At 36.1% G+C, this 17,951-nt stretch overlaps 1 protein-coding gene across 22 annotated transcripts in view; it reads left to right on the top strand.

Annotated features, from left to right (window-relative positions):
• ZZZ3 (zinc finger ZZ-type containing 3) overlaps positions 1 to 17,951 on the top strand; it is a 120,983-nt gene that overhangs the window by 90,143 nt on the left and 12,889 nt on the right. For 11 of the 22 annotated variants that reach the window (NR_164775.1, NR_164776.1, NM_001376151.1 and 8 more), the window contains 7 exons: positions 8,601 to 8,739; positions 11,130 to 11,277; positions 11,368 to 11,480; positions 12,187 to 12,258; positions 13,628 to 13,729; positions 14,387 to 14,482; positions 17,036 to 17,188. Coding sequence is in view for 19 of the 22 variants with exons in the window: in NM_001376151.1 (NP_001363080.1) it covers positions 8,601 to 8,739; positions 11,130 to 11,277; positions 11,368 to 11,480; positions 12,187 to 12,258; positions 13,628 to 13,729; positions 14,387 to 14,482; positions 17,036 to 17,188 (823 nt within the window). In the remaining 3 variants the exon portion in view is untranslated. Of the gene's footprint in view, positions 1 to 8,426; positions 8,490 to 8,600; positions 8,740 to 11,129; positions 11,278 to 11,364; positions 11,481 to 12,186; positions 12,259 to 13,627; positions 13,730 to 14,386; positions 14,483 to 17,035; positions 17,189 to 17,951 lie in introns of those variants that run through there. The other 11 variants (XM_005270729.5, NM_001376147.1, NM_001308237.2 and 8 more) reach the window with 3 other exon arrangements.

The following is a 17,951-nucleotide window of genomic DNA, read 5'->3' as shown; positions in this document are numbered from 1 at the left end:
GGGATGTCTGGATCTTAGGGTATGTACATCTTCAACTTTACTAATTAATTCCAAACTGAGATATTCTAGTCTGTTCTGAGAAAGCTGTTTGTTTCCTGTTCACCCTTAGTTCTAAGGTATAGCCTTTCAGGATCCCAACCCAAGGGCTGGGCTGGTTTCAAAGTTCTCTCTTGATAGGCCCTAGACTCCAACTCTGATCTTCTACTGTTTTAAGCTGTCAAAAGGACTGCTCAGCCTCTCAGTCCTCTCTTCTGGATCAATAAATTGCTCCAGGCAAAAGTGCCCCAAAAACATGTTTTATCTTTCTGGTTTCCATCTTCTTGTGGATCTTTACCTCGTAATAACTCACAATTTTGTTAGCTCTTTGATGCTTTTAAGAACTTTCAAATATTTTCTCCAGCTGTATATTGGTTGTCTTCAGGGAAGAGTTTGTTCTGAATTTGCCTCGTCTGTTTTCCAGAAGTGAAAATTTGAACCGACTGACCTTTTAGTTTTAGTTACTGTATTTTTAAATATTTTATTTGCTTCCTTTTAGAAGCTACATGCTCAATTTTTGTAGTTTCCTATACCTCATAAATATTTTTGAGCTCAGCTTTTATTCTTATTCTTTGTGTCTTGCTTTCTTGCATGCTTGATAATTTTTTAATGTGAGCAGGCTGGGCACGGTTGTTCACGCCTGTAATCCCAACACTTTGGGAGGCCGGGGTGGGCAGGTCACTTGAGGTCAGGATTTCGAAACCAGCCTGACCAACATGGTGAAACCCCGTCTCTACTAAAAATACAAAAAATAGCCAGGCGTGGTGGTGTGCACCTGTAATCCCAGCTACTCAGAGGCTGAGGCAGGAGAATCACTTGAACCCGGGAGGCGGAGGTTGCAGTGAGCTGAGATCACGCCACTGCACTCTATCCTGGGGGACAGAGCGAAACTTTTTTAATGTGAGCTATTCACTTTCTTTGGAAAATTACTTATGGATTATCTTTGAGGCCCAGGATGAAAACATATTTCTCTAGACAGGATTGCATTTGCTTCTGTGGGTATCTTGATTCAGGGTTGGAGGTGGGAGGGAGTTGTGTCCCAGTCCAGGGCCATTGACTTAAACTGTAGTCATGGGTTGAGGTTTTGGGGACCACCCAGCTAATATAATTTGGGGCAGTAAATATGTATTCTTTCCTCAGTCCCAAGGCAACTCTCCTTGGGGGCTGGAGTGAGGGATAGGGTCCCAGCTTAATGGGGAGAGACTATCTATCTTGGTGGCTTTGTCTTACGTTCCTTGGCCAAGTGAAGTCTAGAAAATTGAGCTCAAGCTTGCATGGTTCAGTACCTGTCCTCAAGCCAAAAGCAATTTTAGTTCTCCTTTTGCCCCTGTCAGTTTATTCTTTCACTTAGATTTTGGGCTTAGTATCTTGCTGATTTGTCCATACTTCTGAAATAAACAAGTACCTGTTTTTTTCTTTGCTCATTTTAAATTCAGGGTTTTACTTATTTTCAATACAGAGTTGATCTTTATACCTGGAAGACATATTATTGAGAGCTGAGGTATTAGTTTATGTCTTAACACAGAATATCATAAAAGGCTTTTGATCACCATTGACTTCTGGAGTTTTATTGAAAGTGAGTGGGCCTGGCTTATGCCTTGTAATCCCAGCACTTTGGTAGGCTGACCTGGGAGGATCCCTTGAGGCCAGGAGTTCAAGACCAACCTGAGCCACATAGCAAGAACCTGTCTCTACAAAAATGTTTTTAAAATTAGCCAGGCATGGTGCTATGCGCCTGTAGTCCCAGCTACTTGGGAGGCTGGGGTGGGAGGACAACTTGAGCCCTGAGTTTGAGGCTGCAGTGACCTATGATTGTGTACTCCAGCCTGGGCAACAGAGTGAGACACCATCTATAATGAAAGAAAAGAACGAAGAGGGAGAAGGAGAGAGGGAGGGAGGAAAAGAAAAGAAAGAGAAAGAAAGTGGGAGATTATTTGTGAGTTACTGAATTTGCACTTCCTGTAAACTCTTTGAGCCCTTCATTAAGGAAGAGAAAGCATCTTATTATACAGCTCTTATTTCACTAAATAATTTTTAAAATTTTGCGTGCTGCATAACATATATTTATCGTTACGTCACCTTATGTCCTCTGGTTGTTTTCAGTATGTTTAATGAGGCTCAGTGTTCATAGGGAAATCAAGCTGCTCTTTTTGAGTAGCAAAGTATAATGAAGACTTTTTGTTCCTTGGTTTTTATTTAGGAAAAGTATAAAACTTAGAAAAACTAGAACAGTAATATGATAAGAATCTGCATAACCTTCACCTAAATTCACCAGTTGTTAACAATTTAACATTTTCTAATGTATTTTCTCTCCTTTTACCCTTATTCTCCTTCCCATCTGGTACAATGTACTTTTAAAATTGCTTAGTCATTTAAAAGTAGGTTGTAGACTCATCACTCATACTTCCGCAAATATCTCCTAAAAAGAAGGGCATTTCCCTGTATAACTTTAAATACCATTATTATACTCCAGCAATTTAACATTGGTACAATAAAATTATATACTGCACAATCTATATTTAAATTTTTCCATTTATCTGCAAAAATGTCCTTTATAGCTGTTTAACCCCCTGGGGGGATCTAGCCCAAGATTATGCATTACATTTGCTTGTCATGTCCTTGTGTCCTTTAATCTAGAGCATGGCTTGGCAAACTTTCTTAAAGGACCAGATAGTAAATATTTTAGGCTTGGTGGATAATGTGGTTCTATTGCAGCTCCTCCTCTTTGTCATTATAGCTAGAAAGCAGCCATAGAAATTATGTAAACAAATGAGTGTGGCTATGTTCCAATAAAACTTTAGTTAGACTCCTATTGTAAAATAGCTGTCCCTCTTTTTGTTTTTTGAGACGGAGTCTTGCTCTGTCACCCAGGCTGGAGTAAGCAATGGCATGATCTCAGCTCACAACAACCTCTACCTCCCGGGTTCAAGCAGTTCTCCTGCCTCAGCCTCCCAGGTAGCTGAGATTACAGGCATGCACCACCATGTCCAGCTAATTTTTGTATTTTTAGTAGAGACAGGGGCTTCACCATGTTGGCCAGGCTGGTCTCGAACCCTTGACCTCTGGTGATCCGCCTGCCTTGGCCTCCCAAAGTGCTGGGATTACAGGCGTGAGCCACTGCACCTGGCCCTCTTTTTTGTTTTTAATGACACTATTTAATGAGTTTTGAAGAATCAGGCTGATATTTTGGCAGAGTGTCCTTGATATGGATTTTTAAAAATGTTTCTCCATTAGTTTTTTTAGATTACAAATGCCCATGGAATCTTAAGGGTTATTACCACAGTAGAAATGGAAATCTAGTTTTTTTAAAAAGATTCTGATGCAGTTGAATATAAAATCTTTCCTTCTGTTTCTGTCTGCCTGTCTGTGCCTCCCTCCTGCACGCCTTCCTTCCATCCCTCCCTGATTATTGTGTATGTAATATTACTGCCTAGAAATTGGACAGTAAAATTAACTTATAGGCCGAGCACAGTGGTTCATGCCTATAATCCTAGCACTTTCGGAGGCTGTGGCGGGAGGAGTGTTTGAAGCCAGGAGTTTGAGACGAGCCTGGGCAACAAAGCGAGACCCTGTCCCTACAAAAAAAACCAAACCAAACCAAACCCCAGAGAACAAAATTCGCTGGGAATGGTGGCATACCTGTGGCCCTAGCTACTCGGGAGGCTGAGGCGAGAGGATCACTTTAGCCCAGGAGTTTGAGGCCGCAGTGAGCTATGATTGCACCACTGCCCTTCAACCTGGGTGAGCGTGAGACTCCATCAAATAAATAAATAAATAAATAAATAAATAAATAAATAAATAAATAAAATCAACCTCCAGATTGCTAATTCCTTGATGTTCTCTTCAGATGTCAGGATTTTTACCTGTATACTCTTTCATATAAATGTTTTTATATTCATGAATATAAATAATTCAAGAGGACTTGGGTATTGAAAAGTAGTAAAAATAACTTAGATAAGGACTTGAAGGGGCATTTATACTTTGGCCAAATATATAAAGCTAAAATGTCTTTCTGTTTGAGATGTAAAAGTAAAAACAGTTCTGGTTGGGTGTGGGGGCTCACGCCTATAATCCCAACACTTTGGGAGGCCAAGGTGGGAGGAAAGCTTGAGACCAGGAGTTTGAGATCAGCCTGGGCGACACAGCAAGACCCTTTCTCTACAAAAAATTTAAAAAGTAGCTGGGCATGGTGGTACACACCTGTCCCAGCTACGTGGGAGGCTGAAGTGAGAGGATTGCTTGAGCTCGAGAGGTAGAGGCTGCATTGAGCCATGATCTGACGTTGCCCACCTGCCAGGGTAACACAGCGACTCCCTGTCTCAAAAGGCGAAAATAAGAAAACCCTAATTCTTTGACACAAGTAAGTTCACTGTTGTTAGCATTGTGTAAGATTTAGATTTAGACATAAATAACAAATAATTTTAATAGATTTAATACAAAGCTATCCTTACGGAAAAGGTATAACTATGATTTTATCCAGGCAAAAATATGTGTAATTTTTTTTTTGAGTTATTCTATTCTCTTGCTTGGTTCAGTGAGTAGCAAAAGTAAAAGTAGGATATTTATTGGAATTAAAGAGTTTCAGGTTTTTAGTGCTTGAATTTCTTTTAAATATCTGTCTGAACATCTATGGTGATTGGGTGCTATCCTACCATCTTTTATTAGTTTTGACTGAGACAAGGTTTTTCTTCATATTGTGTCTTTATCACAATTTGCTCCTGGTTTGACCCTTTATACTCTATAAAACAAGTCTATTTTTTTTTTTCCTGCATAGCTGTTTGTTAAGTAAAAATGGAAGTGGTATTCTAGTGGAGGTTTTCATTTCTTGACTAAATATTCTCAGGGTCTTTAACCATTCCTCACATTGCAGCTCCACCATAAATAGCTTGTATGATCTTGGGGAGTTACTTAATCTGTGCTTGGTTTCCTTATCTTTAAAATTAAGAATGTTGGTACTGGGCTCATAAATTTATTGTGAGGATTGAGTTATTACATTTAAAATGCAACATTTGTCTGGCATGTAGTACGCATTCAGTAAATGTTAGACACCACAGTTGACCCTTGAACAACACAGGGATTGGGCATAGACCTCCTGTGTAGTTGAAAATCCATGTATAACTTTTGACTCCCCTAAAACTTGACTACTAATAGCCTACTGTTGACCCAGAAGCTTTACTATATAACATAAACAGTTGATTAACACAAATGTTGTCTGTTACATGTACTTTATACTGTATTCCTTCAACAAAGTAAGCTAGAAAACAGAAGATGTTATTAAGAAAATCAAAATAAAGAGAAAATACATTTACTATTCATTAAGTGAAAGTGGACCAACCTAAAAGTATTCACCCTCATTGTCCTCACGTTGAGTAGGCTGAGGTAGAGGAGGAAGAGGTGGGGTTGGTATTGCTGTCTCAGAGATGTCAGAGGTAGAAGAAAATTTGTGTATAAGTGGATCCACGCAGTTCGAACTGTGTTGTGTTGTTCAAGGGCCAACTGTATTGTTATTTCATCTTACATTGTTTCTCATCCATCTTGTCTATTTATGAACCTGTTTGTCTTTCTTAAAGCGTAGCTGAATGCAGTGACAGCTGTGATCTGATCAGCCCAGAAGGAGTAGTACAGTCGGCACCTCCCCCATTAATATGGGTCAAAGGGCTGGGCGCGGTGGCTCACGCCTGTAATCCCAGCACTTTGGGAGGCCGAGGCGGGCGGATCACGAGGTCATGAGATCGAGAACATCCTGGCTAACATGGTGAAACCCCATCTCTACTAAAAATACAAAAAATTAGCCGGATGTGGTGGCGGGTGCCTGTAGTCCCACCTACTCAGGAGGCTGAGGCAGGAGAATTGCCTGAACCCGGGAGGCAGAGCTTGCAGGGAGCCGAGATCACACCACTGCCCACTCCAGTCTGGGCAACAGAGCGAGACTCTGTCTCAAAAAAAAAAAAAAAAAAAAAAGGGTCAAAGTTGGAGTTGATTTTTAAACATTCATTGTGGAGAATTTAAAACATAAAAAACTAGATGGACTAGTATGGTGGACCCTCATACACCCATCCTCCATCCCCAGCAACACAACCAATCCAGCCGTATTTGTACTTCATCTAGTTCCTCCGTGGTATAATTGTAGCTCCTCTATTACACTTAGACTCCATGCCTGGTTTATCTTGATAATTACTAATGCTTTTAGTATAATGCTTTGTTTTCTAAGTAGATAATTGTTGAATTAATGAAAAATTGAATCTTGCCTTGGATTTATGCCTGGATCAGCTTCTGTAGTTTGCTTGTGTAGGTGGGTGAGCAGGATTGAAAATAGATTTGTCTATATTTACTGTTTTTTAGATGTCACCCCAGTTTTGTTTAAATAATTTCTTCCATATCTGCTCATGGATATATATGGTAATCTTACTGGTGCAGTGTCTGAGTATGCTGGGAAATAATTCCAATTATCTGGGATAGAAGACTTGAATTTACTATTTTCTTAGAGTCTTCATTATTTTGAGCTTGAAGACTTTACCAATGTTTATCATAGGCCTTCCAATCTGATAATCATTTTGTCTTAACTAAATGGAAGCAGAATTGAAGAACTGTACTTTATTTGCCATCTTTGTTGGAATTTTTTTTTAAGTCAGATTTATTGTGGAAAAATTTACATACTGTAAAATTGTGGTAATTTGTTGGCTTCAAATTAGAGGCCCTTCTTCCCAGTGTCTGTTTGCTCCAAACCTAACAAAAAGACGGCTGCCAATGTAATTGACTGTAGCACCTTTTTCAAGCTTGTTTTTTTGTAACCCTATTTTTACTTGTGCCTTATTAGTTGTTACTGTACCTACAGCATTTACTGAAGTTTTAATAGATTCACAGTTGTTTTTAAAGTGATACCGAAGTGTGTAACTCCTGCTTAAAACAGGGATAGAGGCAATATAAGTCTTTGGTTGTATTCAGCTGGTGGGATAGGAATTCTGAAGGTGAAGTATGACAGTTAAGAGTATTATATAGAGAGGACAGCTTCTAGCATTCAGATCACTACCATCACCCTAAGATTGAGCCTATGTGAGCCTGCTTAGTAGAAACAGCCAGCTGAGACAGTATTTGTACACTGCATACACCTCAAAGCAAAAGAAGGCTTAGTGAAAGTGAATTTAGATTTACCCTCTGTAATTTATCCAGTAGTGACTTAGTATAGCTCTACCTTTCCCACTCATAGTTCTAGTTTTAAATGAAATATCTCTAGCTGGAGAGGAGTCTTGCCCTTCAATGTTAGCAGTTTTACCTTAATTATTAAAAATTTCATCAAGGATTAGTTAACAAGGACTTGAAAACAAGAATAAGATTTGTTTTAGAGAGGAGGCTGTGAAAAGTATTCTGATAGAGAACATCATGTTGCCATGACGGCCTGTGAACTTCAAAACTGCAGTATTTCACCTTTGATACTTCTGCTGTTTGCTTACTTCAGAACTTAAAAGATTCGCAGAATATCTATTCCTTTAGAAAATATTTATTGAACATCTATGTGCTGGGAAGTATGTTGCATACTAGCTAAACAAAACAATGAACAAAACAGATGAACTTGCCATTATGGAGTTTAGTCTAGTAGGAAACAAAATGAAAGTTATCTGAAGCCATATAGAAAAATTGTGCTTTGCTTATACTTTAAGGATTTAACCAGTTATTTTAAAGTGAACTTGGAGTGACTTTTCCTTGAGTTGTTTTGCAAAATGTATTTGAGCATTCGGAGCTTTGGGTTTAATGTATTTCTCTATGTGTATTGATAATGTGAAGTTAAATATTAGAGAGGCAGGACAATTTAAACAGAGGGAGAATATTAGAATAGATGTATTGTAGTGAGATTTCAGGATAATGACATGTAATATATTTGTGTGGGTAAAACTATATGTTTGTTGTGCCAAATGGACCTTTGCAAGCAGGAAAGTATAAATATCTTTATGGCCTTTCTTCTCTTTAAATGATTAATACTTAAGAATTGAACATTTGTCTTTATCTTTCATGCAGAGGAAAAAAACAGCAGATTTGTTGATGGAAAAGTAAACCTTTAAAATAGGAAGGAGGGTATAATAGAGCAAATGGAAATCATGAGACTAAAATCACATTGGAATTATGTGACAGTGTCATGTGTCTCTGGGCGAGAAAACATACCTCAGATTTCCCTATTTCAACAGAGTACAACCAAGTGCCTGAATTGAGTGATTCCTCCTAGTATTAAGATTTTATCATTTTAATTATATTTTTTTTATCTAGCAGTTTCTTAACGACTTTGATTGTTGGAAGATCAAAATGCTCTTTTATTTTGGTACTTGTTCAGGTTCAAGAATTAAAAACTTAAGATGGGGGAAGAAGGCTTTGCTTTCTCTAACTCTTATTTTCTGTAGGTACTTCGTAACTCAGGAAGACCTCATTTATTCCCAGTAATATGTTTTACTAAACTCTTTCAGGTAACTCTTAAAAGACTGTGTGACTTAATAGTAGATCATGGCTTGAACTCAGTTTTTATTTATTGTTGTTACTAGAAAATTTTTGTGAAATATTTTTCTTTGTCTCTGTAGTTATCAGAGACTATTACAGACGATTGCTGTACTCGAGGCTCAGCGTTCTCAAGCAGTCCAAGACCTTGAAAGTTTAGGCAGGCACCAGAGAGAAGCACTGAAAAATCCCATTGGATTTGTGGAAAAACTCCAGAAGAAGGTATACATTGAACTGTTTTTAAGATTTACTAAGATCTATTTGGGAATAGCTTAAGAGAATTTGGTTAATTCTTTTTTATGGGTATATACTTTTTAAAATGTTTAATTTTTTTCGTCTATAATTAGCCGTACTACTTAAGGCAAGATACCAACTTCTTCCACCTCCACCAGGCACACAATAAAATATATCCAAATGAAAATAGCTAGAAGCTTTTATTGGATATTTGTATGGGAACTTGTCCTATTCCTTAGCCATTTTTTTTCTAGCTTTTCCTGTTATCTTCCCCTTCTTTGAGTATTTTTCCTCCTCTGTTTCAGGACTTAGGGATTAATAAAGCTAAAAGAAAAAAGTACTTCAGAATTGATTAACTACTTCTGTTTCTGGGCTACTTTTGCACACTAGTACCTTTGTGCATTTTGAGAGAGAAAACAATGGTGATCAAAACAAAATCTATTTTAAATATCTTTAGAGTTACGATAGCCAAGTCCATGAGGAAGAAGTATAAATTTTACTTAATTTTAAAATGCTTTTTTTAAGTGGGAAAATTCTCCATAATTTTGTTTTTCTGAAAACAGAACTTTCGTGTTTAATACTTAACCACTTAAAAGCGATACAGGTTTTTATAATGAGTTTCTTGGTGTGTAAATATGGAGATGATCTTGATGTGCATTTGTGCTGTAATAGGGACCCACTAATTGTTCATTAAATTTGAGAGGTATAATGTTAATCAGCATTGTATGAAAAGATTAAAACTGAAAAATGATGAAAAAGAATCCTCTTCTTAAAAAAGAAACGAAACCTTATCTTGTATGACAACTTTAGTATCTTTATGAGTTACCTGTTTTTAGTGAGTTACAAAAGTGGTCTACCAGGTGTTAGGAGAGCAGCCCTGGGGACTTTATTTCACTAGTTGTGTTAATTTATTATTTGAATTTTCCTAGGTATATTATTTAGTTGGTAAACATTTCTTTCTCTTCATGCTTTTAGAAAACATTGAATATCGTAATAGATATAGAGCCTATATGTTGATTTGTTAAAACTTCTAAGGTTTTTAGAATTTTGGTGTACCTTCTGTGTTAAAATGAGGCCCCTTTAAGTGTTTATTGATTCTGCATTGCTGTTATTAAATAATTTACTGGTACAAAAAGATATAAGACTTATAATGGTTATTTACAATGGATTCAACTAAAACAGATGGTGTTAGTAAAGTAAAAATTTGAAACGAAATTTTTACTTTACTAATGAAAAATTTGTTAACCTTAATTTCATTTCATTTACTTTCCCGGGTAGGCAAAAAGATGCAATTAGGCATATTTACTAGATTTGCATGCAGTTGATTATTTCCTGATTCTTCACTTTCAGGTTTAGTTTAGAACGGACTTTCATTTCTTTCTTTTTTCTTTTTTTTTTGAGATGGAATCTCACTAGGTCACCCAGGCTGGAGTGCAGTGGGGTCTGATCTCAGTTCACTGTAACTTCCGCCTCCCAGGTTCAACAGATTCTTCTGCCTCAGCCTCCTGAGTATCTGGGACTGCAAATGCACTGTACTACACCTGGCTAATTTTTTTATTTTTAGTAGAGACTGGGTTTCACCATGTTGGCCAGGTTGGTCTGAACTCCTGACCCGAAGTGATCCACCAGCCTTGGCTTCCCAAAGTGCTGAGATTACAGGCATGAGCCACTGCGCTCAGCCTAGAATGGAATTTCTTTTCACTTTATTTCAGAAATAAAGATGTGATGTTGACCATCTTAATAATTTTTTATACAATTACATGGAAATATATTAAATTAAGATATTTTAATAACCATGAGGTTATCAGTGTCTGGGACTTAAAAAAAAAAAAAAGAAAAAAATTACCATGAAAGTCCTATGTTCTTTGGAAAAAAATTTTCCTACTAGGTTTAATTTAAAAGATTGATTCTTCTATTTTTCTGGGTTTGCTCATGCCAACTCAATTTGCCTATTTTATTTAGGTTTATCATATTAGTTATGTTGTTGACTGGTAACTTGTTTGTTTTAGTGGACATATAAAAAATTCCTCCTAGTTCATATTAATGAAACTGGTGATATATATTGGTATATGGAATGCAGAGAACATTTATGGGTTGTTAGTTTTATTTTATATTACTATCATTATTTTAAAAGACACTGCCCTCCAACTAGAAGTCGTACTTAGGTTTTGCTAAATTCATTTCTTTACTTATCATCTTTAGCATTTAATATTTAGACTATATTAATTAACTTTATTGTCTCTTGGATTTAAACATGAATAGAAATGCCCCATTGATTATTTGGATTTGGAGTCATCTGAAAATTTGACTGTGGTGGATTATTTCTTTAATTAAATTTAGACTTTTACTTTATTTTGTTTTTTCTCCCCTGCCTCCAGGCTGATATTGGGCTTCCATATCCACAGAGAGTTGTTCAATTGCCTGAGATCGTATGGGACCAATATACCCATAGCCTTGGGAATTTTGAAAGAGAATTTAAAAATCGTAAAAGACATACTAGAAGAGTTAAGCTAGTTTTTGATAAAGGTAAGAAATCATATGATAAGAATTTAAGTAGAAAAATATCTGGCAATGTTTTGCTTTAACAGTTCTGTATGTGGTCTTATTTTTCAGTAGGTTTACCTGCTAGACCAAAAAGTCCTTTAGATCCTAAGAAGGATGGAGAGTCCCTTTCATATTCTATGTTGCCTTTGAGTGATGGTCCAGAAGGCTCAAGCAGTCGTCCTCAGGTAAGCAGTGTGAAATATTGGAGTAGGAGAATTTGAATTTTAGACAAAACAATTTAACATTTTGCTGGTTTGTGTTCTTAAAATTAAAGCAGTCTTTCACTGGAAGATAAAGGAGATAAGAACTTTGAAATTAAGAGAAACTTAGGTTGGAGTCCTAACTTACTAGCCGTGAACCTTCAGACATCATTTACGTTGAAGTCTCTAAGCTGCAGTTTCCTTTTGTATAAAATGTAGTTGATATTACCTATCTTGTAGGGTTGTTGGTGAGGGTTAAATAGGTAGTATATGCAATGTGCCTAGTACAGTATCCGACACATAGTATTTACTCTAAAAATAGTAGTTCCTTTGTGTGTAGTGAAATGTGACCAGGATTTGAGTCCTGGCCTTGCCACTCTTAGTTAGATGAACCTCAGTGGACATGTTACTTTTCAATTCTGAGCCCACATTTCCTTTCCCTTTTTTAAAAAATGAAGTTACAGTACTATTATGTATTTCACAGGATTGCTGAGAGTATAAAACCAAACAAAATAAAATAATGTGAAGGCATTTTGTAAACAGTTAAAAAAAAAGCATATACATTAAAAAACAAATTTACTCAAATATTTTGAAATTAATTTAAAAATTCCACAATTTGCGTGTTATTTGGCTATATCAAAGGATAGGTGTTGTTATTTTCTCTCTGACAAAAGCCTTGTCTTATGTGCAGATGATAAGAGGACGCTTGTGTGATGATACCAAACCTGAAACATTTAACCAGTTGTGGACTGTTGAAGAACAGGTAATAAATATTTCAAAATCGTGTAGGCTTAAAAAAACAAGTAAACAGTTAACATCAGAGTCAGTATTATGAGGCCAGGTCCAGTGGCTCACGCCTGTAATCCCAGCACTTTGGGAGGCTGATATGGGTGGATCACTTGAAGTCAGGAGTTCAAGACCAACCTGGCCAACATGGTGAAACCCTACTAAAAATACAAAAATTAGCCGGGTGTGATGGCGTGTGCATATATAATCCCAGCTACTCGGGAGGCTGAGGCAGGAGAATTGCTTGAACCCAGGAGGCAGAGGTTGCATTGAGCCAGGATCATGCCACTGCACTCCAGGCTGGGCAACAGAGTGAGACTCCATCTCAAAAAGAAAAGAGCCTGTATTTTGAGTCAGGTGTATATTGTTGTATGTGATGCCTGTTAGCCATGAGTTTTAAATATTTAGGCTTATTTTTGTATACCTTTTTGCATACGTCAAGAATTTTGGATTTTGAGAATGTGTAAACTTTTGTTTGGGGATAATTTTAAAAGAAGGAACCTGGGTTTTGAGAGGGGAGTAGAAGTGGATAGAATAAAATAGATGTTTTTGTAATGTAGCTTTGGGAGAGAGAAAAACCTGAGGCCAGTAAAGCTGAGCTTCAAAGTGCATTCTTATTTTTGTTGTCGAAGGGAGGTGAGGAAGTCAAGTCAGTTTTGGCATACAGTTTAGAATTGTTTTTTGGCTAATGGCTAGGGTTGTTAGTGGGTGAAGTTTGAGGCACATCTTTGTCTCATATGGCTATTAACCCCACAGCTATACATTTAACAGTTTATAAAAAGCTTTGGGAAATCTATTTATTTCAAGCATCCAGATTTTTCTGCATCTTTAGGACTATGAGAAGATACAGGAGACAAGAAGGAATATTAAAATCAAATATTTGAATAAAGGACCATACAAAAGAAGGAAAAGCCTCTTTTAATAGTCGAAATTTAAGTGAATTTACACGTTTTTGTTAAAACTGTAGGGGAAAGAAAAGTAAGAAAAGATTGACCATCTTTTCTTGGATTTCAGTGGATTTAGTGATTTCAGTGGAAATCACTAAAATGTGTAATCTACCAATTTGTTTACTTATTTTCTGTTTTCTTATGAGATATTTTTACTTATGTGAATAGAAAACTTTTCTAAGCTCTTTCATAAGTTTATTCTCTAATTTCATTGTTCCCTGTGAAGTCTTAAGTTTCTAACTAGAAATTTTTCCTACCATGAGGATTTCTAATTACGTAACCCCCAAAGGTGGGAGAGAGTATTACATTTTGAAATGAAATGTGAATGTATTTATTTAGAAATCCAATATTTAAAATTAAATACATATTTTCTTAAATTTGGTCTTGGGTATGGCTTAGAAAAAGCTGGAACAGCTACTCATCAAATACCCTCCTGAAGAAGTAGAATCTCGACGCTGGCAGAAGATAGCAGATGAATTGGGCAACAGGACAGCAAAACAGGTAATTGAGGAGATGACTGCAGATTGCTGGTATGCTTTTGGTAGTTTTTTAATAAAGGAGAATAATGCAGCTGACATTGGGCGATCTGCCATAACACTTTCAGCTACAGAGTGCTGTAGTATGTGGTGTTTTTTTAAAAAAATTGTATATATTTTCGTTGATTTCAGAAACAACTTGAGATACTTCTGCTTTGGATCATTACGAAATATTAAAAAATGAACATATAATGGACTTAATTTCTCTTGAATGCTTACTAAATATACTAATTGTATACTTTTTGGTTATACTGAGCAAACAGATTTGTTTCATTGCCTTAGTGTTTCCTGGTTGTCTTTCTAAAAATGTATCTTGCAGTTTACTCCTTCATATTCCCATCTATATTAATAGATGTGTTTTTATACTACAAATGTAAGTGTTCACAAGTTGAAATATGTGTTTAGCTTTAGAATCAAATTTAAATTTACTTGAATAATTTTTGTTTGGCCTAGATTTTAAAATATATGTGTATTTGGTGGCAGTTTATTGTTAATTCTAGATTCATGATGAGTATTGAATTCTTAGCATTCATTAGATACTCATGTACGTTTTAATTTTTAAAAACGACTCAGGTATTGTATGTCATCTCATTGTGTTAAGAGACTTGTCATGTTTCCTTAGGTTGCCAGCCGAGTACAGAAGTATTTCATAAAGCTAACTAAAGCTGGCATTCCAGTACCAGGCAGAACACCAAACTTATATATATACTCCAAAAAGGTAAAAGAAAATACATGAAAGTAAACTGTAGATTAAATTTATTAAAGTAAGAATTGCTATGTAAAAATCTACACATTTGACAGAATAGTGTTGTATTTTAAAACTTCTGTTCATTCTAAGCATTTCCTTATATTGTGCAAAAGTGGAGGGTAAGGACTCCATTATTGCTGCTCAGTGAAATTCATGATTCTTCATTATTTTCTTTGGAGTAATGTGAATGAGTGCTACTTGAAAGATTTTAGATTCAAAATATGTTAGAAAGGCCTTTGTGAGGGTAAAGTTTTTAGGATATTTGATTATTTAATAAATCAATCATTTAATAAATTTAATAGATCAATTTCTGTTTTGTAGATAATGCTACATAAATCCAAGAATAGAAAGGTTTATTATGATATTCTAAAGCCAGGCACAGTGGTGTGCACCTGTTGTCCCAGCTACTTGGGAGGCTGAGGCACGAGGAACACTTGAGGCCAGGAGTTTGAGTCCAACTTAGGCAACATAGTGAGGTCCCGTATCTTTAAAAAAATAAAATATTGTATTTAATCCTTTCTACAATTCTTGAAATATAAGTAGTCTTATCATCTTCACTTTACTGACATAATATTAATAGCTAGCTGTTATATTGAGGGCTCTGAGCCAGACTCTACTGTTCTATAACCTTTTATTTGGTAAGGAAACTGGGCCCTCAGGTATGTTGAGTGAATTATCTAGTTGCTTAGCTGCTAAGTCTGGGAACCACTGATTCTCTCCCATTCTGATGCCACACTTTTTCCACTTTTCTCTGTTGCTTTCTACAGTGGAGAAGCTACTGTTTCTTTCCCAAACAGGACACTACATTAAAATGTAGCCAGTTTCGGCCGGGCACGGTGGCTCACGCCTGTAATCCCAGCACTTTGGGAGGCCGAGGCGGGTGGATCACGAGGTCAGGAGTTCAAGACCAGCCTGGCCAATATGGTGAAACCCCGTCTCTACTAAGAATACAAAAATTAGCCGGGTGTGGTGGCACGCACCTGCAGTCCCAGCTGTTCGTTCTTGTAATCGCAAAAAATAAAGACACCTAATTGGCTGTTTTAAATTTTCTTAATAAGTTATCCTGTTACTTTTCCCTCCCCACCACTGACATCTTTCTCATAAAGAGAAGCTAAGAGTATATCTAGTGCTGTTATCCTTCCATACTGAAGCTATTTCATGTAATTTTACATTAAGAATATTGTCTATACAGTTTCATGTTTTACACATTAAAAAAAAATTTTTTTTAACCGAGCTTTGGAAGCTTGTTTTAATTTGCCAATTGTTTTAAATATTTTGGGTTTCCCACCAAATATAGCACAACCTGTGTAGATTTGTAGAGTTCATCCTATAACTGTGGAATATTGGAACCTTACATTAACCTGTGTTTAATGTAAGAGCTCTTATTTTCATGGTTAATTTCTAAGCTAATTTTATAGATGTAACCATGTTTTCATCATTAACACTGGATAATGATAACAAAAGGAATACTGGAGAACGTACATGTGTTTTTTTCCCTTAGGTGTACTGTATTTTGGCTGTGAAGATCTAGTACAGCTATATTTACAATGATTGCTTGCCATTGTTAGAGTTTAAATTTGGAAACAGGTGAAATGATGGTTCTTCATGTAGCTGAGGGTGTTCTTTGTGACTGTGCTATTGATCAAGACAGGCAGGCTGCATAGTGGTGGAAAGTGAGAATTTGGGCACCACATAGGCCTAGTTTATAATCCTGGTTCTACCACTATCTAGCTGCAACACACTGAACAAGAAACTTAACCTCCCTGTCCTCAGTTTTCTCATTTTTAAATTAGAGGTGATGATAACTACGTTATAGGAATGTTGTAAGGATTAAATGACATTGGCATAGAGCAAGCTTGTCCAACCCATGACCCACGTACCACATGTGGCCCACGACAGCTTTGAATGTGGCCCAACACAAATTGGTAAACTTTCTTAAAACATTACAAGAAATTTTTTTTTTGTTGTTTTTTTGTTTTTTTTTTTAGTGTGAGTGTATTTTATGTGTGGCCCAAGACAATTCTTCCAATGTAGCCCGGGGAAGCCAAAGATTGGACAACCCTGGCATAGAATAAGCAGTCAATCAATGTTAGATAAGTATTTTCAGATATTCATAATGTTATAGAAATTTTCCTTTTACTTTTTACTGGATAGTTTTATGTCTGGCATAGGCCACTTCATCCTGTCTGATCTTCTATAAGATGATCATAAGAATTCAGTGCAGCCAGCATTTGACTGCCAAGAGTATGATAAATGCTGGGGATACAAATATAAGCTAGATATTAAACATGTGGTCCATTTTACCGTTGTTGGGGTATTTCCCCTACATTTAAAAAAAATTTTTTAAAGCTAGTTATGCTTTAAAAACGCAGAAAACAGAAAAAGCAACAACATAAGAGTATGCTAAAGGATAGAGTGAAATTCTTCTGATAGACTTGTTGGAAGTAACATTTGTATTTTTATATTTTTGATTCTTGTAATGATTTTTCACTGAACCAATTAAAAATTTGTTTTCTTACTTAGTCTTCAACAAGCAGACGACAGCACCCTCTTAATAAGCATCTCTTTAAGCCTTCCACTTTCATGACTTCACATGAACCGCCAGTGTATATGGATGAAGATGATGACCGATCTTGTTTTCATAGCCACATGAACACTGCTGTTGAAGATGCATCAGTAAGTTATACACATCAAGTTGTTATATACATCAAGGTATAGAAGAGAGTAGGATTTTCTAATTATTTCCACTCTTCAGAGAATGTTGGTTTCTTTTAATGAACAAGTCAAATGTATAGTTTTTAAGTAATGTACTTTTGTGAGGAAAATTTCAAACATATACAAAAATAGAATAGTATAATGAACCTTAACAATTATCAACATGAAGCTACCTTATTTTAATCTCTACTCCCTACCCACCTCAACTCTGCTCTGGATTATTTTGGAGCAAGTCCCAGATATTACACAATATAATTATCATGTTTATAAAAGGTAATTTGTTATACAGTGAAATATATAGTCACTGTTCATGATTTTTTTTCTAATTTCTTCATTTGGGTTTGGATCCAAATAAAGCCCATAAATCACAATAGGTTCATTCTCCCTCTTTCACTTTCCTTTTTTCCCTCTCCCAATGTTTTTGTTGAAGAACTGGTTCATTTGTCTTATAGAATTTTGCAGTATGGATTTTATTGATTACATCTTCTTGTCATTTAATCTGTTCCTCTGTTTTCTGAACTTCCTGTAAATTCATAGTAGGTCAAGAGCATTGATGAGATTCAGATGTATTTGTTTGTTAGGGTGGGCAGGACTACTTCACGTTTACTTTCATCAGCCTGGTTGTCTCTTTTTTTGGCATAACAGCCACTGATCATTGACTAAATTGATTAATTCATTAGATGTTACAGAATAGTGATTATGCTATCATTTCTTCATTTACTTG

The sequence above is a fragment of the Homo sapiens genome, chromosome 1 (genome assembly GCF_000001405.40).
Source record: "Homo sapiens chromosome 1, GRCh38.p14 Primary Assembly".
In the NCBI taxonomy this organism is placed as follows: domain Eukaryota; kingdom Metazoa; phylum Chordata; class Mammalia; order Primates; family Hominidae; genus Homo; species Homo sapiens.
The sequence above is the reverse complement of the archived record's forward strand: the minus strand, read 5'-3'. Positions and strand labels throughout refer to the sequence as shown.